Source organism: Homo sapiens, chromosome 16, assembly GCF_000001405.40.
Source record: "Homo sapiens chromosome 16, GRCh38.p14 Primary Assembly".
Classification (NCBI taxonomy): domain Eukaryota; kingdom Metazoa; phylum Chordata; class Mammalia; order Primates; family Hominidae; genus Homo; species Homo sapiens.
In genome coordinates, this window is record NC_000016.10 from 32,737,881 (window position 1) to 32,765,388 (window position 27,508).

Here is a 27,508-nt window from a genome sequence, read left to right on the forward strand (position 1 = left end):
GCGTGTGCCACCGCGCCCGGCCCTGCGTTTTCTACTGTGGATGCTACTGAATGTTTTTAGTATTTGCTGTATGTCAAGAGCTCTTCTAATTAAACTCTATGCGTAATGACTCACTTAAAGGTTACTATTATTATCCCTATTGTAAGAAATGGACATTGGGGCACAAAGAGGCTTAGAAACTTGCTCAAGATCACATACCTGGCTGAGCGCGGTGGCTCACACCTGTAATCCCAGGACTTTGGGAGGCCGAGGCAGGCGGATCATGAGGTCAGGAGATCGACACCATCCTGGCTAACACGGTGAAACCCCGTCTCTGTCTGTCTGTCTTTCTCTCATCTCACTCTGTCACCCAGGCTGGAATGCAGTGGCACAATCTCAGCTCACTGTAATGTCTGCCTCCTGGGTTCAAGCGATTCTTCTGCCTCAGCCTCCGGAGTAGCTGGGAGTAGAGGCATGTGCCACCATGCCTGGCTAATTTTTGTATTTTTAGTAGAGATGGGGTTTCACCATGTTGGCCCAGCTGGTCTCAATCCCCTGACCTCTGGTGATCTGCCAGCGTTGGCCTCCCAAATTGCTAGGATTGCCGGTGTGAGCCACCACACCTGGCCTTTATTTCTTTATTTTCTATTGTTTGTTTGCAGTGATAGGATCCCCAATTCAGAAATCAAGTAAAGGAAGTATGCCTCCAAGAGGTATTGGAGTAGATAAACTAGATATTACAAAGCCTACAGATTCAGTCTATTAATTTTTAAAAATAAATTATTAATTTATTTATAAACAGTGTGTGTGTGTGTGTGTGTATGTGTGTGTGTGTGTGTGTGTGTGATGGAGTCTCGCTCTGTCGCCCAGGCTTGAGGGCAGTGGTGCAGTGGCCCGATCTTGGTTCACTGCAACCTCCCCCTACCGGGTTCAAGTGATTCCCCTGCCTCAGCTTCCTAAGTAGCTGGGATTACAGGCACCCGACACCAGGCCCGGTTAATTTTGTATGTTTAGTGGAGAGGGTTTCACCATATTAGCCAGGATGGTCTCGATCGCCTGACCTCATGATTCGTCCACCTCAGCCTCCCAAAGTGCTGGGATTATAGGTGTGAGCCACCGTGCCCGGCCTATTTAAACAAGTTTTTAAAATAAATTATTTTATTTTAACTTATCATATTCCTTTATTCAGGGAGATAAGTTACTGAGATAACTGGTAGTAGGCAAAGAGAAGAAACAGGGTGAAGTCAGGTTTGTTGGTGGAGGAAAAATGATACTAAAGACTGCCCAACAAATATTCAGAATCCAGAAATGTTCATATTTCTCCATGGTTCAATTTCTCATGGGTCACTTTTCATTACAAGGATTCTGGAGAGCAAATAAGACAGGATTCTCTCAGGTATCAACCCAGTCTTTTTTTTTTTTTTTTTTTTTGAGACAGAGTCTCGCTCTGTGGCCCAGGCTGGAGTGCAGTGGCGCCATCTTGGCTTACTGCAACCTCTGCCTCCCGGGTTCAAGAGATTGTCCTGCTTCAGCCTCCCGAGTAGCTGGGATTACAGGCCCACGCCACCATGCCTGGCTAATTTTTGTATTTTTGGTAAAGACAGCGTTTCACCATATTGGTCAGGCTGGTCTCGAACTCCTGACCTCAGGTGATCCACCCGCCTCGGCCTCCCAGAGTGCTGGGATTACAGACGTGAGCTACCGTGCCCGGGCCAACCCATAGTCTTTCAGTCTTCTCTCAGCCAAGGCATCCAGTGAAAATACAATTTATTTTTCAGATTCCTCTGGAGAATTAAAAAGTCTCTTTTGCGGCTGGACACGGTGGCTCACACCTGTAATCTCAGCACTTTGGGAGGCTGAGGTGGGCAGATCACAAGGTCAGGAGATCGAGACCATCCTGGCCATAGCCAACACGGTGAAATCCTGTCTCTACTAAAAATACAAAAATTAGCTGGGTATGGTGGCACACACCTGTAGTCCCAGCTATGTGGGAGGCTGAGGCAGAAGAATTGCTTGAACCCAGGAGGCGGAGGTTGCAATAAGCCAAGATTGAGCCACTGCACTTGCTCTGGTGACAGAGCAAGACTCCGTCTCAAAAAAAAAAAAAAAAAAGTCTCTTGCATCAAATTGCCATAGTCTCTGCTCTTGGTCCTCTTTTCCATGTACTCATTCTTCAAGGATTTATTTTCTCATTGCCTGATCAAGATCATTGCAATGACCAAAAAATTTTCGGATGCTGTGATTTTTGTAATATTCCTTTAAAAAGTTAATCATGATGTTGCGTTCTTCAGTGTGCAAGTGTGGAGATGTCAGGATGCCTCTTTAAGACAAGATGATGGGTCACAGCAGTGCCATACCACTCACAGCCACACCAGGAGAGCTGAAGGGGCAGTCACCAACGAAGATGCCCGACCCAGAAGTTGGCTGCCAGGGAGCCAAAAGCCAGGTCACTCCACAGGTGGCCAATGCCTGGGGGAGCCCTCCACCGCCCAAGCTTATTATTATTATTATTATTTTGAGACGGAGTCTGGCTCTGTCTCCCAGGCTGGAGTGCAGTAGCACGATCTTGGTTCACTGCAACCTCCACCTCGTGGGTTCAAGCAATTCTCCTGCCTCAGCTTCCCGAGTAGCTGGGACCACAGGCACGTGCCACCTCACCTGGCTAATTTTATTTTTTGAACAGACAGGGTATTGTTATGTTGTCCAGGCTGGTCTTGAACTCCTAGGCTCAAACGATCCTCCCACTTCAGCCTCCCAAAGTGCTGGGACTACAGGTGTGAGCCACACCTGGCCAGGTTCTACTTTTTAATATTTAAAATATCTGAAATAGGCCGGGCACGGCGGCTCACACCTGTAATCCCAGAACTTTGGTAGGCTGAGGCGGGCGGATCACCAGAGGTCAGCAGTTTGTGATGAAACTCCGTTCCTACTGAAAATACAAAAATTAGCCGGGTGGGTGGCAGATGCCTGTAATCCCAGCTACTCGGAAAGCTGAGGCACCTAAACCCGGGAGGTGGAGGTTGCAGTGAGCTGATATCATGCCACTGCAGTCCAGCCTCCGCGACGCAATGAGACTGTCTCAAAAAAAAAAAAAAAAAAAAAGATGGTGTCAGTGATTTCTGCTACATCAGCTCTGGAGGCACTCCGTACCTGATTGCTCCACTTTTAGTGGTGCTAAATTCAAATAATTCAGCTGGTGAGAAACTGACTCCCGTGGGAGTGCGGGCGTGCGTGCGTGCCGCGGAAATCCCGCCTTCCGGCGCCGGCGGTTGGCCCTGGCTGCAGTGGGTGAGCTCCAAGTAGGAAGATAAACGGGATTGCGGGAAGCGGGAGAGTCAGGAGGAGCAGGGAAGGGCTCCTCTTCCCCATTGGCTGCGCCCGCAGAGCCGCCTTGCGATTGGCGGTAAGCGCGGGTCGGTGGAGGGGGCGGCAGTCCCGCGCGGGCACGCCCCTCGGGTAGCGAGAGGCGTCGGGATCGCGGGCGCCGGCTGAGCCAGCGGCTGCTGGGAGGCTGTGTGCGCACGCCTGCGGGGCGAGGAGGCCGGGCCCTGCGCCTCAGGTCCTGGCCTGGGGCACCGGGGCGTCCGGCGTCGGAGGCGGTGCGGGGTTGGCGGGAGGCACAAGGGGTGGGGGGGCGGGGGGGGGGTTGCTGCGCGGACCGCCCGCGGCGCAGCCCCCTGCCTCTCTCTATCTCTAAGTGGTGGTGGCTGTGGGTTTTTCTGCAGGTGAGCCTTTTGAGTAATTTGTTTCATGCAGGCGCCCTGCTGTTGGGTAAAGCGGCAGATTCACGCTGCTGTCATTTGTCGTTCAAACGATGGGCTTCCTGGCAGGGCGCGGTGGCTCAAGCCTGTAATCCCAGCACTTTGGGAGGCCGAGGCGGGAGGATCATGAAGTCAGGAGATCGAGATCATCCTGGCTAACATGGTGAAACCCCGTCTCTACTGAAAATACAAAAAAAAAAATTAGTCGGGCTGGTGGCGGGCGCTGGTACTCCAGGCTACTCGGGAGGCTGAGGCAGGAGAATGGCATGAACCCGGGAGGCGGAGCTTGCAGTGAACTGAGATCCCGCCACTGCACTCCAGCCTGGGCGACAGAGGGAGACTCCATCTCAAACAAAACAAAACAAAAAATGATGGGCTTCCTGTCATGTGTGTGTGTACCTTTTGGATTTGAGGGCAGGGGTATGACATTGTGATTTGGCCTCCTGTGACAGTCCATTCTCAAGGTCTCGCCAGCGTGGTGCAGAAACCCGGCATACCTTGCCTATCTAGGAAGGAGGCTTTCCCTTCCCCACCTCCCTCTCCCTCCATCTCTTCCCTCTATCTCTCTTTCCTCTTCATTCCCTTCCCCGAGCTCTTCTCTCCCATCTTTCTGTTCTTTTTTTTCTGCATTAAACTTTTCGGGAGTGTCTTTGTAAAATATTAAAAAGCGTTAGGTCTTCAACATGTATGTTTACTTGCAGGCCTGAGAACTGGGAGGAAGCTGGAGAAAAGATGCCCTCTGAATATTTGTGTTTGGCTGCCCAGGCTCGCCTTGACTCCAAATGGTTGAAAACAGATATACAGGTGGGGTTTGACATGTCTCTTTCTTGGTGTATTTCTGCTTCCATGTTTAAATTTCTCGTGTAAGTCTTTTTTTTTTTAGGGTATGTAAGGGGAAGTCAGTTGTTTCTTGCTATAGTAGAGGAGCAGGTTTGTTTCCTGTAACTTAAAATGTAACAGTCTTTATGGCTGTTTTTGTAGATCGTGCACGGCTGCCTTTTAATTAGTTTCTTGCAAGTGCACGAAACTTGAGATCTATGAATAGGCAAAATTTTTTTCCTATTTTTTTATTACTGGTTAAGAAATCTGCCACACTCCTAACCATATGATGGTGACTGTTATTTGTTACTGATAGTTTTTGAGCTGTTTAGTTAACTGTGCAGGGGAAAGTTGGAGAAGTAAGTTGCAGTAATTATGGCCAATAGAAACGCACTCATTTTATGAGGTCTTGTGTTTGTGTTTTTGGAGAGACAAGAGTTAGTTCAGTCGAGGTGTTTGTTTTGTATTTGTATGCAATACAAGGTCTAAGGACAATTGTGTTGAAACTGAGGTCATGATGTTGGAATCTTAAGGGCTGAAGGTTCCAAATAAATGGTATATATAGAATTCTCTCTGACTCGAAATTGTCCCTTTCTGGACCTCCGGATGCTGAGGCTAAGAATGTCCATATGATAGGGCCTTCCATGACAGGAGTCAGCAATCTTTTTTTTTTTTTTTCTTTCACGTATCTGTAATTCATTCTGTATATTTTAAAAAGTTTTAAGCTCTCTTCCTAGCCCTAGTATTTGTTAATAAATTAAAACATTTCCCAAAGTGTTTTTTTGTGAAACAATAATTCTAAAAGATGCTCTAAGAAAAGCTAAGCACATGGAAAAATCCAAAGTATATGTTTTATTTATTACATTTGATGAATTTGTTGTTTGCTTCTTTTTCCTCTCAAGAGGGAGCCTTGCTGTGTTGCTCAGGCTGGAGTGCAGTGGCATGATCTTGGCTCACTGCAACCTCCGCCTCCCGGGTTCAAGCAGTTCTCTGCCTTAGCCTCCTGAGTAGCTAGGATTACATGCACCCTCCACCACGCCCAGCTAATTTTTGTATTTTTAGTAGAGACGGAGTTTCGCCATATTGGCCAGGCTGGTCTTGAACTCCTGACCTCATGATCCACCTGCCACGGCCTCCCAAAGTGTTAGGATTATAGGCGTGAGCCTCCGCACCCGGCCCACGTTTGATGGATATTTTTGTCCTTTGTTCTTTTAAAAATTGTGGTTAGAAAGCAGAGCATAATTGTTCTTTATGTAGATCCCAACTGATTGGGGTTTTTAGGGAGATTTTTTGGCATTCAGTAAATGTTTTTATTTTCCATTATTAAGACTATGAATATTTTATTTTATTTTCTGAGACAGGGTCTTGCTCTGTTGCCCAGGCTGGAGTACTGTGGCATTATCTTGGCTCACTGCAACCTTTGCCTCCTGGGTTCAAGCAATTCTCCTGCCTCAGCCTCTCAAGCTGCTGGGATTACAGGTGGCTGCCACCATGCTGGGCCAATTTTTGTATTTTTAGTAGAGTTGGAGTTTCACCATGTTGGCCAAGCTTGTCTGAAACTCCTGACCTCAAGTGATCCGCCCGCCTCAGCCTCCCAGCGTGCTGGGATTGTAGGTGTGAGCCACTGCCCTGGCCCATTTTCACTTTTCATTAGCTGCTATTTTCCCCCATTTATTTCCTACCTTTCTGTGTATGATTTCTGAATGAAATGTATTTCATGTCTTAACCTTCTGAATTGTTTGTTCTCTCATTTTCCATGTTGTTAAGGAAAATAAGAGGCTAAGTGAGATGTATTAAATTTGCATATAGTTTCTCAGATCAGGATAAAGGCTCATCTGTTGCAGAACGGGACTCTGCTCTTGCTTCACCCAGGATGCGTTTCCTAGTTCCTTCCTAGAGTGGGGCCACGCCCTGCTCCAGCCTTCCAGACCCAGCTCCCTGCTCTGACATGATTCCACTGGACTGTATTCCAACTGTCCTACCTGGACCTAGATATTTTCTTTGTTTTTTTGTTTGTTTGTTTGTTTTTTGTTTTTGAGATGACGTTTTACTTGGCGGTCCAGGCTGGAGTGCAGTGGCGATCTTGGCTCACTGCAACCTCCGCCTTCCAGGTTTAAGCAATTCTCCTGCCTCAGGCTCCCAAGTAGCTGGGATTACAGGTGCATGCCACCACACCTGGCTAATTTTTGCATTTTTAGTAGAGACGGTGTTTCACCATGTTGGCCAGGCTGGTCTCGAAATCCTGACCTTGTGATCTGCTCGCCTCGGCCTCCCAAAATGCTGGGATTATAGGTGTGAGCCACCGCACCCAGCCAACTTTTTTTTTATTAAAAAACTTACATGAAATTTATTTTATTGTGGTATCTAGTTCAGTAAATTTTGACCCTATAGATTCATTTAACCCCCGCCATCATCAGGATGGAGAAGTTTCATCACCCCAAAAGCTCCCTTAAGGTGCTGCTTTTTATCACATATCCCCTGGCCTCATACCCTGGCAACCACTGATCTGTTCTCCATCAGTATAGGGTATTCTTTTTGAGAATGTCATGTGAGTGGAACCATATTTTAAGTAACGTTTTGAAACCATCTTCATTTACTCCTAGTTATATGTTTGAGATATATTGTTGTTCTGTGTATTAATAGTTCTTTTTATTGATGAATGGTGTTTCATCATTTGGATGTACCACATTGTGTTTATCCATTCTGCTATTGTAGGACCTTGTGGTTGTTTCCGTTTTTCTTTCACAATTGTAATCCTGCTGTGAGCATTTCTGTACAGATTTTGTGTGAATATAGTTTCCATTTCCCTAGGATAAAGACCTAGTAGTGTGAAAATTGGGTCATGTGCTGAACTGTTTTCCGAAGTGGCTGTTTTAGTTTGCATTCCTGCTGGTAATCTGTCACGTTTCTGTTGCTCTGTGTCTTTGTTAGCACTTGGTGTTATCAGTGTTTTTTAGTTGAGCCATTCTAACACGTCTAGTGGGATCTCATTGTGGTTTAAATTTGCATTTCCATAATGGCTAACAATGCTGAATATCATGTTCTTCTTTGCCACTCTTGTATCCTTTGTGAAGTTTCTGTTCAGATCTTTTGCACAGAAAAAGCTGTATCATGGAACCAGTAAAATAACCAAGGAGAGGTTGATTAAAGTTCTGTTTATAATCCTAAAAGATTCCTGCCTTAGGGATATGGGATGGCTGAACATAAGACACCAACACTGGACAGATGAAATAGCAGTTTATTAGTCACGCATGCTCACAGCCCTGGGGGTGGGGGACACCGCATGTCACACGGGGGCTGCACTTGGGAACAGAGTGAACCACGAGGGGCTGTGGGAGGCACATTTTGTAGTAAGAAGAGGGTGAAATGACCTTGCTTCCGTGGGAAGATGTGATTGGCTTGTTGGAATAACTCTGGACCAGCAGGGATGAGCAGGCTGGGGTCGGGTCTCCGCGATAAGGAGGGTTGTTTGGCTCTGGGATCTTATCCGTGGGAGCAGAGCTTGGAGGAGACCTTGTGGTTAGGCTATTTGAGGCCTTCTTGATTTTACTGACGTCAAGGCAGCACATAATATTTAGTCTTAATTTCAGGCCACACAAGACATTCCTCTGTATCTACTTTCTGTGGCACTTTTCAAAAGGTTTTGTCCTTAGTGTTTAGCAGTTGATTATGATGTGCCTCATCATGGCTTCCTTTGGATTTATCTTGTTTGGGCTTTGCACAGATTCTTCAATCTGCCTAGGTTTCTGTCATTTGCTGAACCTAGGAAGTTTTCAGCTATTAGTTCTTTAGATTTTTTTTCCAGCATTGTACCTTTTCTCTCCTGTTATTAACCTGTGGGGTCTGTGCTAATTCTAGGTAGTTAGTTTCAGAATTGAATTGCATTGTGGGACACATAGCTGGGTGTCGCAAAGAACTGGAGAATTGCTTGGTGCAAAAGTCCATACATTTGGCGTCAGAAGTGTTGTAAACAGAGGAACTGTTTCCTTAGGGATTTTTAGATACTCATTATTTATAATCTGGATGGGATATCATGTCCTTCACCGATTGAGGTACATTTTTCTAATTATGTTGTTTAGACGTTTAGTCACAGCCTTCTGTGATGGACCGTGTTTACACTTCAAGGTTAAGGTTAGTTCTCTCTTCTCTTCGCTTACTATGTCAGGAGTTTTATGACAGTTGTTTTTGACTGAAACGTTACATTGTCAGTGGCCTAAAGTCATTTTTCCCAGCTTTTCCTTTGTGTCCCAGTGCTCTTGAATTATGCTATCAGTGACAGCGCCCCTGCATAGCAGTGCTTGCCAGTTGGCAGTGGAGTAGGGCCTTGGAAAGGGTTAAAAGATTTTTGAATCATACTCCTTTTCTACACCCTCCCTTTTCCCATGGGTACGCAAGCATTGGGACTCAATGGATGGAAGCAATTCGTGTGAAATTGAAGTAGGTAAATATCAAATACTAAGTTTCTCAGTTGTGAAATCTACTAGGAAGTTAATGAAATATCATTTTGGAAGACATGCTTTAAATAATTTGATATATTGGTTTCTTTTCTTTTCTTTTCTTTTCTTTTTTTTTTTCAGATGGAGTCTTGCTCTGTTGCCCAGGCTAGAGTGCAGTGGTGCCATCTCGGCTTACCGCAAGCTCCGCCTCCCGGGTTCACGCCATTGTCCTGCCTCAGCGTCCCGAGTACCTGGAACTATAGGTGTCCACCATCATACCTGGCCAATTTTTTGTATTTTCAGTAGAGACGGGGTTTCACTGTGTCAGCCAAGATGGTCTCCATCTTCTGACCTCGTGATCCACCGGCCTTGGCCTCTTAGAGTGCTGGGATTACAGGCATAAGCCACCACTCCCGGCCGATATATTGGTTTGTTTATGAAAATTATACTGGATCTGTTACAGGTATGATTGATATATTTTATTTTTGAGTTGTCAAACATTCAGTTAATGATGTGTGTTGTAACTTTTCAGGGAGGGACATTTGCAGAGACTGACTAATGGTATGGCATTCTGAAAAGCGGTTACAGATTAAAAAAATTTTAATTCTGCAGATGATAGTGTCAAACCAAGTGGAACAAAGAAAGAAGATCTGGATGACAAAGAGAAAAAAGATGAAACTCCTGCACCTGTATATAGGGCCAAGTCAATTCTGGAGAGCTGGGTATGGGAGTAAGCAACCAGGTAATCTTTGATCAGAGATAGAAATTAGTATAGACATTTTGCCTCCAGATCCTCAGGTGGTTTTAGAAATTGGTTCTCTAATTCTGTAGGAGAAGGTTGATACTGGTATAGGCTTACACGTCATTGAAACTGGAAAAGGTAGCTAGATATTCTTCTACTCATGTTTTGGATAATGAGATATTTTATGCTTCACACACTTGGAGTATGTCATCTACTGTAATACGGTATCTGAATGAATACTTTAAATAAAATACATTTCTGTAAGTTAATTGTATACTTTAAAAATCTCTGAAAAATTTGAGTAGCAAGTCTCAGAAACTTGGTTCTAAATATTAAGAATATATCCTTCCTTGGGAGGGAGCATGTAGTAAACATGTTAGTGTGATTGTAAGCATACTGTCTTTCTGGAGGTCGCTGTGTTCCTGCATCCACTGTTTTCATTTCAGGGATGTTCACAGAACGCCAGGCACCAAAAGGCCAGAAGCATGCCCCTGCAGGACCAGCACTTGGCTCTGGCCATCCTGCTGGAGCTGGCTGTGCAGAGAGGCACGCTGAGGTGAGGGCTTGTGCAGAATGGGAACGCTTTGGGGAAGCGCCTCTGTATCCAAATACCTGTTGCATTGTGTGCATTTCACTGAATCGTGTTTGACTGCAGCAGAGAGCACCATGTCCCAGAGCTCGCTCTCTCTTTACCTTTTCTTCACTTCCTTTTTTATGCTCAGTTTTCTAGCCTGGGAACTGTTCTTTTTTTTTTTTTTCTTTCAGTTTTCCTCATTTAATTATTTTTATTCCATGAATTTAAGATCCTAGAACTTCCATGTGAATGTGCTCTTTGAGCTTCTTAACTGGTCTTTCCTATCAGCAGAAGGCGATGACTTGTGCTAAAATCTTAGTGTCAATTCAGTGATTTAATTACCACGGCTTTACTTTCATTTCCTTTCATATCCCAAGTATTGCTTCACTTCTATCTAGCTGTTTGCTTTTATTTTTGATCAACCATGAAAAAAAAAGTTAATCTGTTTTTACTAGGAATAAATGTGTTTTCTCCTTTAGCCAAATGTTGTCTGCCATCCTGTTGTTGCTTCAGCTGTGGGACAGCAGGGCACAGGAAACTGACAATGAGCGTTCTGCCCAGGGCACCAGCACCTTGCTTTTGCCCTTGCTGCAAACGTTCCAGAGCATCATTTGTGGTAAGGATACGCCCCCCTCCGAGGGCAACATGCACGTGAGTGTCATGATGGAACGTTGTGTTTAGGTGGTACTCAAGTCTAGTTATTTTTTACGCAAGACCAGTGTGTGTGTCCACGGCAGTGTTTTTCTCTGGCGTGTGTGTATTTGGTGGTAACAGCAGCGAGTCAGATGAGACAGGTGTGGGAGGCCACTTGTTTGTGGAGAAGACTTGGATCAGTGAGCACCGACTTCCTTGTCAGCACAGAACCAAGCTTGAAACACGCACTTTTAAATCAATACTAGAAAAGAACAACGAAAATAGTGGCTTTCTTTGTTGGCCCTTCCTATGTACTGGGCTCTGTGCAGGGCATGTCATCTGAGCTGTCACTCTGTTTAGTACCAGCTCCCCCCTTAACAGGTGTGGACGCCGAGCTGGGGGAGGAGCAGGCATGTGGGGCCCTGGGTGTAAACCTCCAGGAGTGCTGGTCTTTACAGGTCAAGTACAAGTTGAATTTTGCATCTTTTTGGGAAAGTCTTAGGCATTTCAATATCATGCTTTGGTTTAATTTTTCTATTATTTGTTAGTCTTTAAACTAATGATAATAGGGCTCTTCTGCCTTTAGAAGAATTAGAACTATGATTTAATTTGCAAATGAAAGTAGGTGTTCTCCAGAGTGGGCAATGTTTAGATTAAAATAAAGGTTTTGGTTTTAGATTTCAAGGCCAGCTTGAGATGCTGTTCTGGGTTCCCACAGAGGTGGTTCTGCCTTTCTCCAGGGGTCCTAGGCCTGTAGGGTGGTTTGGTCATGTTAGTAATCTGTGTGGATTCAACTTACCTGTGGTGTCATAAATGTATACATGCACAGTCAATGTTGTGTACATGTGTACAGCACATTTAGACATTTATACAGTCAGTTTGTATGCTACATAAATATATAGATGTATAGTATAACTGTATCATCGACATTGTCATTTGATGGGTCAAATGAGTCAATACCAAAATATAAAGAGTGGGTAAAGGCTAACTGTATTACTTTAATTTTTCCCACCATTTCTGAATGTTTGTTTACCTTTCCTTTCTAGCTTTTGTCTGGCCCTCTGAGCCCCAGTGAGTTTCCTGAGGTACCTCACCCTCCACAAGACAACGAGCTTGCCATTGATCTGCAACAAACGGCGGTTGTTGTCATGGCCCATTTAGAAGATCTGGCTACACCCTGTAGATGCCTCTGCCGTGTAGCTGTCCGACGTCTCATAAGGTGTGTGTGCAAGAACCGTGTTCTCCATGGGTTTTGTAGCTAGTACCACTTGTAGGTTCTCATCCTGGGCCCGTGTGGAGACTTGCTTTTTCTGGTATTGGTAGGGGGAGCTGGCCTGTGGTTTTTAAACGTGTTTGCAGTTGAAGGTGTTATCCGTGTTGAGAGTGAATGATGAGCAAGCTGAGGCGCACAGGCCTGGGGACCCAACCTGGGGGCCCAGGTTCCAGGTTCAGGTGGCACAGCCCCAGAGAGCTCCCCTTTACCCACAGCCCCAGGCCCTCCCACCTTCTACAGAGGGTTCCACAGCCTTCTTTATACTCTGAACGTGGGCTGTCTTAGTATGTAATGCTGGTTATAGTAGTGACAGTATAATTATATATTATATCTGTTATGTAATAGTAATGGTAATAGTAGTGATTTGCATGTGTGGAGCACCTGTAGGGTGCAGGCCCACTGAGGACCTCATACACGCTGTTGTATCTCATTATGTCAATGAGAAAACTGCCTTTGGGAATGTTAGTGAACTTTGCCAGTGTATAACAGTAATCCTAGTTTTGAATCCAGATTTTTCTAACATTTTATTTCTAGTATGAAGAGTGTTTATTTTGTTTTACAGTCGTTAAAAAAAAAAGAGGAATACAGTCACATGGTTCAAAAATCAAACCTAGGCAGAGACACACTGTCACTTCCCCTGCCCACCCCTTCCACCCATTTTCCTACCTGCTCTCTCTGGCTTTTCAGTCTCCTCTGTAACCTCCTTGTTCTCTGGAATGAGTATGCTAGTGGTAGCATGTTGCATTACTTGTGTTGCTTGTTTTTTTTTTTACTAGCCATATATACTGGAGTACTTTATCAGAGTGTCGCTCTTTGTTTTTATAAAGCAGCTTAGTCTTCAGTGTGTAGATATGTCTTTTATGTATCATTCTTCAGTGAGTCTCTTATTGGTGGACACTTGGGCTTATTGCCACAGTGTTGCTACACAAATAGTGCTGAGGGTCGGTTGTGGTGGCTCATGCCTGTAATCCCAGCACTTTGGGAGGCCAGGGTAGGTGGATCACCTGAGGTTTGGAGTTTGAGATGATCAGCCTGGCCAACTTGGAGAAACCCCGTCTCTACTAAAAAATACAAAAGTTAGTGGGGCATGGTGGCACATGCCTGTAATCCCAGCTACTCGGGAGGCTGAGGCAGGAGAATCGCTTGAACCTGGGAGGCAGATGTTGCAGTGAGCCGAGATTGCGCCACTGCACCTTAGCCTGGGCAACAAGAGTGAAACTGTCTCAAAAAACAACAACAACAATAACAAAAAACACAAATAGTGCTGCAAGGCCTGACCTGGAACATGTGTCCTCCATGTGTGCACGCGTGTGTGCCTGTGCACATGCACAGGTGGGGATGCACCTAGTGTGGGCTGGTTGTCACCAGATCGCTCCTGTACATCTTGATTTCTCTCACCACCAATAGGGATGCTGGTCTCCCAGCCTTGTGTGTGGGCTTTTGGGATTTTGCCTGCTAAAGCACAAAATGGTGACCCTGATATAGTTTGAGCATTTTAAAATATATTAGTATTTAAGGGCCATTTATACTACTTTTTAATGGGTTCTGTTGAAATGCAATGGAAATGGAAAAATAGCCTGTTCAGTTGCTTCATCATACCTGTTAAATGCGGTAATACGGCGTGGTAGGAGATGGGGTTTCACCATGTTAGCCAGGATGGTCTCGATCTCCTGACTTCGTGATCTGCCTGCCTCGGCCTCCAAAAGTGCTGGGATTACAGGCATGAGCCACTGTGCCCGGCCAATTGGATTATTTTAAAGCATAACTCTGTCTTTAAAACATTTTAAGGCATTTTACCTCTTAATGATAAGGATTTAAGAAAAACCCTACAATATCATTATCCTGTCTATAAGATTAACAGTGATTCCTTAATCTAACATGTAGTCCATGTTACATTTTCCTGGACTATCTCAAAAATGCCTTTTTTAGGTGGTAATTTTGAATTAGGACCTGAATATGTTCTGTGTATTGGCATTGGTTGACATATGCTTCTAGTCTCTTTCCCCAAACAACATGGCTCCAGGCCCTCCTCTCCCTGTCTCTGATCATACCATTTTCTTTTTCAAAGAAGCAAGTTGGTTATTTTGGAGAACTTCACATTTTCTGAACTTGGTTGATTGCATTCTCTTATTCTAGACCAACATATTCTTCTGTTAGTTACATTAATCTGCTGGTTAGATCTAGAGGTTTGGTTGGATTTGAATTCAGTCTCGTTGGGGTGGTGTTATGTCTGGAGTCATGCTGCATGCTTTCTGTTGGCTCAGGAGGCCTGTAATGCTCAGTGGCTCCCCGCTTTAGTTCTGTGAAGCTAGACCAGGGAATTCATGTGTTGCGTGTCCTCTATAAAATCCCCTACCAACCTTGCCCTCTGCTGTCTGGTTAGCAGGAGGTACAATTTGTACAGGAAGGACATAATCTAAGCTTGACTTCTTGAACTGCCACCTCCCTTTAACTATTTTTCATAATATTGAGTTGGTATCCTAGCACTTGCATAGGTGACCACCACTCAGGTTTTCTTTTTTTTTGAGTATTTTTATGAACTAATAGACTTCTATTGATTTGGTGTTTCTTTTCTTTTTTAGCTTTTTCCCCCTAATATACACATTTAAAGGCGTAAATGCCCTCAAGCATGCATTTAGTTGTATGTCACCAATTTTGATCTGCAATATTTTGATTATTAATTGAACTCATTTTCTAATTTTCATAGTCATTTTTTCTTAGAATTTTGGGTTACTTATAAGTGTATTTTGTAATTTTCAAATATGTGGATGAATATTTTCATTTTCTGTATATACAGAGTCATTTTTATTTTATTTTGAATGAACTTTTGAAAACCTATTTCTAATTTAACTGCATTGTAGTCAGCACACATGCTGTGTAACTTTATTTCTTTGAAATCTGTTGAGATTTGTTCTATGGCCTGGCATGGCCTGATTTGATATTCATGCTGCCTAGATTTTTTTTAAAGCATTCTATATTTAATAGAATTTGTATGTGTGGTATTAGTTTCAGAGCTAGGTATGTATTTCTCCCATTGTGATTGTGGATTTGTTTATTTCTGCTTGTAGTTCTTTCACACAGTTTGTTCTTTTCATTTTACCTGTTGATTGATCAATGGACTGATTCTGGTTTCTGTATACAGAGAGTCATTTTTTTACAGGTCAGAACTGTAGAAATAATGAGGAAGTGACACTTATATGCAAAGCTGATTTGGAGAACCATAATAAAGATGGAGGCTTCTGGATTGTGATTGATGAGAAAGTGTATGATATAAAGGACTTCCAGACACAGTCGTTAACAGGAAATAGTATTCTTGGTAAGATTACCCTTCTTATTTCCTGGTTAAAAGTTACAGCCTGTATCATTTTAAGCAGAGTATTTGGCTTATAAATGATTTCTTTAGTTTTGTGCCAGCCCCCGCATATTTTAATGTATCTGTGGCTTTGGTGTCTGTCTTATCAACAAATTCAGCACATTTGAAGAATTTCCTTTCATTATGCATTTTTTGTTTTAATACTTGGAACTCATTTCAAGTTCTGAGTTGGCCCAGGCAACCCTGGGAGACAGTGGGAGGTCATTATACTCTGGTAACCCTCACTTTTGAGTTAAGCGCCTAACTTATTTCCTACTCACTGTTTCTCCTATAGCTCTTCAGGCAAGCTGAATTGAACTCCTGTTGCTTTTTCCCTTTTTCTTTCAGCTCAGTTTGCAGGGGAAAACCCAGTGGTAGCTTTGGAAGCTGCTTTCGAGTTTGAAGTCACCCGGGAATCCATGCACGCATTTTGTGTTGGCCAATATTTGGAGGTGAGGCTGTATGCCTTGAGTGATGCAGAGGATGGCAGGGGACACCCTCTGTGTGTTTGTGATAGGAATATTTGGATCTAGAAGTACTGATATCTGGGTCTTTTGGGGGGCATTAGGGATAATATAAAGATCCTTTAGAAGTTTTGTCATAAATGAATTTACATTTATTCGTGTTAGGATCTGTGATGTACTGGTCTTGAAAGATTGTTTTTTAAATGATCAATTTGTGAGAAATATAGACAGTGTTCCACAAGAAAAGAGGTTAAACTTTGGTCTTATGTAGAAATTTGGAATGGCTTATTATATTGAGGTATGTATTTTTTGGGAAGAACTATGTAGAAGTGTAATTCTTTACAATAGAAATATGTCCTTCCTATGTATTCACGAACACATAGAATTTATATACTGGGATTAGCTTTCCAGCTATCCACAAGTAATAAAATGTATTAAATGCCATTAGGGCAGGGCTTAAAGCATTTTATGAAGGGGAGAATTAACTTTGCTGTAAATATCTTCTGTGACTGGAAAAGTTGAACTCTTGCTTTTTTCAGAGTTTGATTTTTGTTAGAATAAATTTCATTTCCTCTACCTGTGTGGTCACAGTCCACTAATACTTGTCATCGAATACTTGTCATAGTTTTGTTGCCCAGTGGGTTCTTTATGCATGTAACAATTCATTATACTTTCTGAAGCATGGTGTACAGTCACTTTGGAAACTGATTCCTAAGGAATATTCTAGCCAAATCATGTATCTGTGCTTTAGTTTTTCTGCGTGTACGGTTGCTGCCAGCTTTATAGGGCATGTGGGTTTATGTGGTATCTGCTGTTACTTGGGCACAGCAGCATCAACTCATTACAGGATGGAGGGGCAGAACACCCAGGGCACCCCTGGGCTCACATGGCGGTACAGCTGCAGGACAGAGCTGTCCTTTTGGTTTTATGTTTTTAATTAATTCTGTTTCCTCAGATTGATGATGAAGTTTATTTTTCCAGCCTGACCAAGAAGTTGTCACCATACCAGATCCGGGAAGTCTCTCTTCACCTCTGATAGACACAGAGAGGAATCTGGGCCTGCTTCTCGGATTACACACTTCCTATTTAGCAATGAGCACACCGCTGTCTCCTGTCGAGATTGAATGTGCCAGTAAGAAAATCTTTGCTTTTTGCTGATTAGCAGATTATTTTTTTTGAACTGTAAGTGCCATTAAGAGTGGGAGAGGGCCAGGCACAGTGGTTCATGCCTGTAATCCCAGCACTTTGGGAGGTTGAGGCATGTGGATTGCTTGAGGTCAAGAGTTTGAGACCAGCCTGGGCAACACGGCAAAACCCCATCTCTACAAAAAACACAAAAATTAGCCAGGCATGGTGGCATGTACTTGTAGTCCCAGATACTCAGGAGCCTGAGGTAGGAGGATCGCTTAAGCCTGGGAGGTTGAGGTTGCAGTGAGTCATGATCATACCACGGCACTCCAGCCGGGGTGACAGAGCAAGACTCTCTCTTTAAAAAAGTAGGAGATGGCCAGGCGGTGGCTCATGCCTGTAATCCCAGCACTTTGGGAGGCTGAGGCGGGTGGATCACCTGAGGTCAGGAGTTCGAGACCAGCCTGGCCAATGTGGTGAAACCCCATGTCTACTAAAAATGCAAAAATTAGCTGGGCGTGGTGACGGGTGCTTGTAATCCCGGTTACTCGGGAGGCTGAGGTAGGAGAATTGCTTGAACCCAGGAGACAGAGGTTGCAGTGAGCCAAGATCGCACCACTGCGCTCCAGTCTGGGTGACAAGAGCGAGACTCCGTCTCAAAAAAAAAGAGGAGGATTCAACACAGTTGATGATGCTACAAAAAATAATAATAAGGATAGTGAGACTCAATCAGGTAGAAACAGCTGTGAGTGGCTGTCATTTGCCCTCATGGTCTGTTGCTGCAGAGGAAGCTAAAAAGTGTGCAGGAGTGTCTACCCGTCTACCCTGTGGTGGTCTCACGTATTGCAGCCTCTGCCTGATGGGCCCAGCATGGCTTTTGTCTCCCTGCATGCCCAGAAATTGCACAGAATGTGGATCAGCTGTTCTCTCAGGGAACAGCGTTCTATTTGAGGACTGCGTTTTTACCAGACCAGGCTCAAGTCAGTTATATTTCAGGATGGCAGCCTTTGTAACCACCTAAAATAATAAGCTTTTTCCTGTCTCCTAAGATGGGTTTACATTTTCCTTCATGTAGTCGTGCATTTCCCATCTGTCTATCTGTCCGTCCGTGTGAGCAGCTTCTGTTGAGCAGTTGCCTGGTGCCGTTACCATGCGAGGTGTTCAGGATGCAGTGATGGATAGGACACGCCTCTGCTTTCAGTTGCTGCTTGTTGATGAGCCAGCATTCTAAGCAGGTCACGTTACAAGGTGGTGAATGGTGAAATGGAGACGTTCATACGTGGTTCTGGGAGAAGAAAGGCTTCACACCGGCAGCAGTCCTGAAATTGCATGAGGGAGCATTCTGGGCAGAAAACACAGGAGTGTCAAGGGCAATGCTGAGAGGAGCAGGGCTTTCCTGCTGCTTGCGAGAGTGGTTGTGGGAGAGGCTTGCGGGAAAGGAGGATCTTGGTGTCCACACAGCCCCCCGTTGGGTGGACCTTTGTGCAGTGCTGGGTGCTGGACTGCCTGTGGTGCCCTCTGAGGTGTCTGCTTCCCTCCCTCCTCCTCAAGGCTCATTGCTTGCCAGAAGATGGGCTTTGTTTAAATTGACAAGGAGGGCAGGGCTGGCGAGCTCCAGAGCAGAGGGTGCCATGAGCCCTGGCAGGTGGGTCCGAGCCACAGGAGGATCAGAGGCTTATCTTGGAGCAGTAAGGAGGGGCTGTCCTGTGCTTAAAGAAAGGGGGCCAGAGAGAGTTGGCATTGGATTAGTGTTTCAGAAGAACGAATGTGGTGGGTTGGGGAATGCTCCTGAGTGCTCTAAAAATCTAAATGTCCAGTAAAAGAACAGTAAGTGCATCCCCGCTTTGATTGCTTGGATTTGGAGCAGTATTTGATAACACAGATCGTTAATAGAGATCTGTAGTGGTGCACATCCTAATTTTGTGTGTATGTGCCGCTCCCTCAAGTGACCATAAGCAGTTGTAATTAACATTTGCACTGGCTGATCCCATGCCTTGCACCATGCACAGGTCTCCTTTCCAGTCCATCGGCCCTCCCGTCTCCAAGGATCTATCCTTCATTAAAGATTGTGTGTTTGTTAAATATTTTCTCCTTTTCATTCCTTTATAAGTGCTCTAGGAATACATAGCCTACCCTGAGGATGTAATTCTTTGTAGAAACCCTTCAGATATGCTGTTCCCTGCCTGGATACTCAGCGTCTGGGTCTTATTCCTCATCTTAGCTCAGTTGTTGCTTCCACAAGTCCCTTACTGACCCTCAGAATAGCGGTGGTCTGTCCTCCGGTCTCCCTGGTACCCCCATAGTCATCCGTTGCACAGTTTTGGACTTGAAATCCTGTGATTAGTTGTGTCAGCGGTGCCCTTTGCTGCCTTCCTTGTTAGAGTGTGCAACTCAGTCTTCACACGGTATCTGTGGAACCAGGCAGCTGCAGGCAGAGCACAGGTATCCAGAGAATTTTGGACTGGAACTACAATCCTGAGTTCTGATGCCGTGCCTGAGGTGTGTGGAATCACCAGAAAGTGTATTCACGTAGATAGAGGAATTACAAGTCAACCTGTGTAAACATGTTAGGTGGAGCTCTTTCATATGAATGATGCTGAATTTTACCTTCTAAATTGAGTGTTCAGTTGAGCATCTTTTTTTTTTTTTAGTATTTATTTTGAGTTGTGCACTTGAGTTTCTCTTTCATGTTTGCGTGTGCATTTTCTAGAATGGCTTCAGTCATCCATCTTCTCTGGAGGCTGCAGACCAGCCAGATCCACTACAGCTACAACGAGGAGAAAGATGAGGACCACTGCAGCTCCCAGTGGGCACACCTGCCAGCAAATCACCACTGCTCCCACAGATGGGCCCTGGGGGACCATTCTCAGGCATTTCTGTAAGTCATTGCAGACAATAACATTCAGGATCACAACGTGAAGGTGAGCTAGGCCTGTCCCCACTGTCACCTCAGTGCTCTGTTTATCTGAGGACTTTGACATAGGAATACTTAGGTGCTCTTTGGTTAACATAGCACAGACTTTGTTTCATGTATTATTTGGAGGGTTTTGAGGTGAGAACCTGATTGTGTTAACATGCTAGCAAGGCTTCGGAAGCATTACTGATTGCAAGTGCATCAGAAGCTGTGGCATGTTTAAGATTTGTGAAGACTCACTGGCCGGCCCTGAAGTTACCTCCAGCTGTTTCTGTTGCAGGGCTTTTTGTGTCAAATAGAAAGGTACTGTAGGCAGTGCCATTTGACCACACCGATCATGTTTCCCCCCGAGCACCCCGTGGAAGAGGTCGGTCGCTTGCTGTTATGTTGCTTCTTAAAACATGAAGATTTAGGTAAGGAGCTCAATATCTGTGTACTTTAGCTAGACTGCAGATTCCTCGACTAACCTGTGGTACATATTCATTCCTTCCCTGTCCTTCTTTTAAATGTCTTTTTGCAGGTCATGTGGCATTATCTTTAGTTCATGCAGGTGCACTTGATATTGAGCAAATAAAGCACAGAACGTTGCCTAAGTCAGTGGTGGATGTTTGTAGAGTTGTCTACCAAGCAAAATGTTCGCTCATTAAGGTGATATATTTTAATTCTTTTTATTCTGTGCTTTGCAGACAGTTGCAGAAATATTTGTTGTTAAAGTTGTCTTTTCCTGGTTAACTTTGCAGACTCATCAAGAACAGGGCCGTTCTTACAAGGAGGTCTGCACTCCTGTCATCGAACGTTTGAGATTCCTCTCTAATGAATTGAGACCTGCTGTTGGTAATGACCTCTCTATAATCTCTGAGTTTAAATTGTTAAGTTCTTTGCCCCGTTGGAGGAGGATAGCTCAGAAGATAATTCGGGAACGGAGGAAAAAGAGAAGTAAGAATGTAAAAGGACAGAAGATACTATTAAAGCATGTGCTTCACCCTGCCTCGCTGGACCTGTGATTTCAGAGTGAAGTTTCTCTACTGTTGATTCCATGTGACATTTCTACCTGCTGCCATCATTTTTATGTATAGTTATGATTAAATACGGAAATCTCTCCTATTTTTTCAACCGATCAGACAATGAGGCAGTTTAGGAATTGAGTGTGGTATGATTTGATTACTAGTAAATTGATGTTGAAAATGTAAATAATCTTTGCTAAATTGATGGGAACAAGGACGTATTTTTATTTTATTAGTTATCCTGGTAATGAGATATAATGGGAACATTTAAACTTATTGCCATTCTTCTAAAGAAATGTTTTTTGTTTGGAAATATTGAGTATTCTGATACATGGAGAATTATAAAGGGAAGCTGAAAGAGTTACTGACATTTTCCTGGAAGTAGCTGTGTAAGAGTACAGAAAATTGTAGCACCATAAAGTTTTACGGGAGCACAGCCACACCTGTTGCTTTATCTGTGGTTACTTTTTGTGCTACAGCAGCAGAGTTGAGTATTTCCAACAGACTGCGTGGCCTGAAAGACTCAAATGTTCACTCTCTGGCACTTGAGGAAGAGCTTGCTGGCTGCTGGGCTTCCCCTGCTTCGGGGCTTCTCCCCTTGTCACACTCTCACTTTGTCATTTTGTTCTGCCATGGTGATCATTTCACTCTTGTTGTTTGAGCCTTGCAATTTATAATGTTGTTCAGATGTTTATTTGAATGAAATATTTGTCTTTCATGTAAATCTAAGTATTTCCTAATTTAAAATTAATATTTAAGTGTATGATTTTTTATAGTGAATGATGTTTTAAAACACAGTTCCTAAGAAGCCAGAATCTACGGCTGATGAAGAAAAAATTGGAAACGAAGAGAGTGATTTAGAAGAAGCCTGCATTTTGCCTCATAGTCCAATAAATGTGGACAAGAGACCCATTGCAATTAAATCACCCAAGGTGCAGTGTTTTCTGTGATTCTGAGGTTAGCTGAATAGAATCATAGCATGTAGCAAAGGAATCCACAGTCTTGTACCTCTGTACCTGAGCATCCGGAGGGAGGGACGGGCGGTTGTTAGAAATACGGCCCCAGTGATGGTTCATGAACTTGACTTATGATGTCCTGGTCAGAGCTGTAGCTGGAGAAGGGTTTCCTTTTATTTTTGGTACTAGATTGTATCATTAATTATTCACCATTCATTCCTTAAATATATTCTTTGTTCCAGAAACAGTGCTGGGCCCTGTGGCTATTAATATGAACCACAACTTAACTTCGTATGCCAAGCTAGCCTGTTCCAACATATATTAGTATAGAGATAAGTTCACTTATATTTATAGCATAGTTTTAAAACCATGTATTAATTACTAAATTTAACATATTTTAACCAATTTAAACCTATGAGCATTATTTATATTTTACTTGAATAACTTTTAGAGCACAGTTTAATATTAAATAGGGTAGACTAATGATGAAAATTGTTTTCCTTTGTTAGGACAAATGGCAGCCACTGTTGAGTACTGTTACAGGGGTTCACAGATACAAGTGGTTGAAGCAGAATGTTCAGGATCTTTATCCGCAGTCTCCACTCCTCAGTACAATTGCTGAATTTGCCCTTAAAGAAGAGCCAGTGGATGTGGAAAAAATGAGATAGTGCCTACTAAAACAGATAACATTTGATGAGAAATGCTTCTCTGCAGTGGGTAATATACATAACACTTAACTGTATATGCATTGATATTTTGCAGTTCGAGAGAGCAGAGGTTCGCCTGGAAGGGATAGATACAATTTTGAAATTGTATCTGGCGAGCAAGAATTTCTTACTTCCATCTGTGCAGTAAGCGATGTTTTGTGGATGGCAAAGACTTATTCCTGAAGGAATCGATATAGGGTAAAACGTTAGCATATTTTTTTCTTAACTAAGGAAGCTGTGGCAACAGAATGTTGTTCTGTAACAGTTAGAAGTCTGGCAGTGTCCCGAGTCAAATTCTTTATCTTTATTTGAAAGGGAACCTCTTACTGATTGTTTAAAGGATGTTGATTTGATCCCACCTTTTAATCGGATGCTGCTGGAAGTCACCTTTGGCAAGCTGTATGCTTGGACTGTTCAGAACATTCTAAATGTTCTGATGGATGCCAGTGCCAAATTTAAAGAGCTTGGTGAGTCAACAATTGCATCAATGTTATTTTATAGTTTGCCTTTAATTATGTGTTGTGGAAACTTGCAAATGCCAATTTTTGCTTTTGAGAAGACTGTAATAAGTTTGTACTTTGTACTTGTATAATCTATGCTGCTGTCAGCTTTCTCAGATTTTAAACAAAACTTTAAAATTTAGCAGGAGATACAATGTTGAAGTACTCTAGTATAACATTTTTACATTTTGACATTTATATGTGTATCACCACATATCCTAAGTGTCTGTGTCTTATATTAATATTTATTTCCTGGATAGTCTGAGCATCTACAGAGAGTTGATTGGATTGGTTTTGTGGAGGAAAAGTGAGACATAACTTTTATATTTGAAATGGAAGGAATGGAATAGGGCACCAGTGTATTCAGAGAGCAACATGCTAAGTCCTGTAGACAGATGGAACGACCTGTGCATAGAATACAGGGGTTAGGCCCATCGTGCAGCATGACAGAGCTGCCCACTCTGTGGAAACCACTGAAAAATAGTCAGATGTTTAGAGTAATTGCCCGTGCTTTCTGTGTTACTTTTATTCTTGTATCCACGCACAAGAAATGTCAGTGGGTGTCAATGCTTATTAGTCAGATGTTTAAAGTAATAGCCCGTGCTTTCTGCGTTATGTTTATTCTTGTATCCATCACAAGAAATGTAAGTGGGTGTCAATGCTTATTAGGTATCCAGCCGGTTCCCCTGCAGACCATCACCAGTGAGAACCCATTGGGACCGAGCCTGGGGAGCATCCCGCAAGCCCGCTTCCTCCTGATGATGCTCAGCATGCTCACCCTGCAGCACAGCGCAAACAACCTCGACCTCCTGCTCAATTCCGGCACGCTGGCCCTCACTCAGACGGCACTGCGCCTGATTGGTAGGTCTGCACTGGCTTGAGAGCCTTTGGGAAAACGTCAAGATTTTGCTTTGATTTCTTTTTTTTTTTTAAGCTTTTTGTAAATTATGGTAAGACACAAATAGCAGAAAGTGTAGCATTTTAACGTCGCAATTCAGCAGTATTAAATACATTCACAATTTTCTAGAGTCATCACCACTGTCTGGTTGTAGAACTTTTTCATCACTATAAATGCACCCCATTTAGCCATCAGTCCTGACTCACCTGCTCTCCAGCCCCTGGTAGTCACAAATCTGCTTTCTCTGTCTATGGATTTGCATATCCTGGATATTTCATATAAATGGAATCATACCATTTGTGGCCTTTGTGTCTGGGTTATTTCATTTGGTATATATCAGTACTTTATTTTTATGGCTGAAAAAGATTTCCATTGTATGAATATATAACATTTTGTTTATTCATTTATCTGTTGATGGACATTTGGGTTGGTTTTGCCTTTTGACTTTTGTGAATAGTGTTGCTAGCAACATTTATATACAAATACTTGTTTGAACACTTGTTTCTAGTTCTTTTGATTATACACCTAGGACTGGAATTACAGGGTCATATGGTACAACTATGTGTAACTTACTAAGAGACTACCAAACTTTTCCACAGTGCCATATCATTTTTACATTCCCACCACCAGGGGGCAGGATTCCAGGGTCCAAGTTTCTCTACTTCCCTGCCAACACTATTTTTTGTGGTTTTCTTTTTTTTTTTGGATTAAGGCCATCCTAGTGGGTGTGAAGTGCTATCTCATTGTGATTTTGATTTGCATTTCACTAATGATGAATGACATTGAGCTTCTTTACATGTTTGTGCTTGTTGGCCATTTGTATATCTTCTTCGGAGAAGTGTCTATTCAAGTCCCTTTCTCTTTATTTTTTATTTTATTTTTTTGAGACGGAATCTCACTCTGTCACTCAGGCTGGAGCGCAGTGGCACAATCTCGGCTCACTGCAACCTCCACCTCCCGGGTTCAAGCGCTTCTCGTGCCTCAGCCTCCCGAGTAGCTGGGATTACAGTCACACACCACCACACCTGGCTAATTTTTGTATTTTTAGTAGAGATGGGGCTTCGCCATGTTGGCCAGGCTGGTCTGGAACTCGTGACCTCAGGTGATCTGCCTGCCTTGGCCTCTCAAAGTGCTGGGATAACAGGCATGAGCCACTGCGCCCAGCCCCTTTCTCCTTTTTAAATAGGGTTATTTGTCGTCATCTTGTTGTTGTACCGGTAAATGCACTATGTAAGTGTACCAAACATTTAAAGAAGAATTAACACCAGTCCTCAGACTCTTTAAAAATTTCATGTATACTAGACCTTCACAGATCTGTAGACCTTTATCAGATATATCATTTGTGGGTATTTTCTCCTGTTCTCTGGATTGTATTTCCTTTCATAGAGAAGTTTTTTATTTTGATGAAGTTTAGTTTATCTGTTTCTCTTTTGTCGTCTATGCTTTTGATATCATACCCAAAAAGCCATTTCCAAATACAAGACTGATGAAGATTATCCTCATCTCATGTTTTCTTCCGTAAGTTTTATAGTTTTAGCTCTTATAGTTAGATCTTTGGTCCATTTTTAGGTAATTTCTTTTACACAGTGTGTGGTAAGAGTCCAGCCTTTTCCTTTTGATTATCTGATTGTTTCAATACCACTTGTTGAGGACTATTCTTTCCCTGAAGTTCTCGGTACCCTTGGCAAAGATCAGTTGGCTGTAGATATTTAGGTTTATTTCTGGACTCTCAATTACATTATTACATTCTATATGTTGATAATTATGCAGGTACCACACTGTTTTGAACATTGTAGTTTTGTACTGTTTTAAAATTGAGAAGTGTGTCTTCTTTCTCAAGATTATTTTGGCTGCTTTGGTTCCGTTGAATTTTCATATGAACTTCAAGGCTGGCTTTTCCATATCTGCAAAAAAGACCATTGGGATTTTTGCTAGGGATTGAATCTGTAGATTGTTCTGGGGAATAGTGCCATCTTAACAATGTTAACATCCATTCTCTGAATGTGGAATGTCTTTCCATTTATTTCCGTCCTCTTTAATTTCTTTCAGCAATATTTTATTGTTTTACAGTTATCAGGGTAATAATGGCCTCATAGAATGAACTAGGTAGTGTTCCCATATATTCTATTTTTAGAAGAGTTTGAGGATTGGTGTCAATTCTGCTTTAAATGTTTGGTAGAGTTAACCAGCTAAGCTTTTCTTTGTTGAAAGATTTTTTTTTTTTTTTTTTGAGGCGGAGTATCACTCTGTTGCCCAGGCTGGACTGCAGTGGCACGATCTCGGCTCACTACAAGCTCCGCCTCGTAGGTTCACGCCTTTCTCCTGCCTCAGCCTCCCGAGTAGCTGGGACTACAGGCGCCTGCCACCACGCCTGGCTAATTTTTTGTATTTTTAGTAGAGACAGGGTTTCACCATGTTGGCCAGGATGGTCTCGATCTCCTGACCTCGTGATCCACCCGCCTTGGCCTCCCAAAGTGCTGGGATTACAGGCGTGAGCCACCGCTCCCGGCCTGAAAGATTTTTAATTACCGATTCAATCTCTTTACTTGTTATGGGTCTATTCAGATTTTCTATTTCTTCTTGAGTCAGGTTGGGTAATTTATATTTCTAGGAATGTGTCCATTTTATCTAGGCTATTTTATTTGTTGGCATACAGTTGTTCACAGTGTTCTTTTATAATCTTTTTTATTTTTATGTTGCTAGTACTGTCTCCACTTACATTTCTGATGTTAGTTATTTGCATCTTTTCTCTTTTTTTCTTTTTTTTTTTTTTTGAGACGGAGTCTCACTCTGTTGCCAGGCCGGAGTGCAGTGGCACAGTCTCGGCTTACTGCAACCTCCGCCTCGCAGGTTCAAGTGATTCTCCTGCCTCAGCCTCCCAAGTAGCTGGAACTACAGGCGCCCGCCACCATGCCCGGCTAATTTTTTTGTATTTTTAGTGGAGATAGGGTTTCACCATGTTGACCAGGATGGTCTCGATCTCTTGACCTCGTGATCCGCCCACCTCAGCTTCCCAAAGTGCTGGGATTGCAGGCGTGAGCCACCTTGCCTGGCCTCTTTTTTTCTTAATTTGCGGAAAGTTTATCAGATTTTTTGTTCTTGCCAGAAACCAAACTTTTGGTTTTGTAGATTATTTTTCCATTCCCTATTTAATTTATGGCTGCTCTAATCTCTGTCGTTTCCTTCCTTCTGCTTTGTATTTTTTTGTTTTTGTTTTTTTTTTTGTCTTTGTTTTGAGACAGGGTCTTACTTTGTCCCTCAGGCCGAAGTACAGTGGCGCAGTCATGGCTCACTGCAGCCTCAACCTCCTTGGCTCAAGTTATCCACCTGCCTCAACCTCCCAAAGTGCTGGGATTACAGGTGTGAGG

At 43.2% G+C, this 27,508-nt stretch overlaps 2 pseudogenes; one reads left to right on the plus strand and one right to left on the minus strand.

Annotated features, from left to right (window-relative positions):
- Positions 1–1,746: 1,746 nt before the first annotated feature.
- LOC112268180 (COX assembly mitochondrial protein 2 homolog) lies at positions 1,747–3,348 on the minus strand (annotated as a pseudogene).
- Positions 3,434–27,508, plus strand: part of HERC2P5 (HERC2 pseudogene 5) — a 34,055-nt pseudogene continuing 9,980 nt past the window's right edge.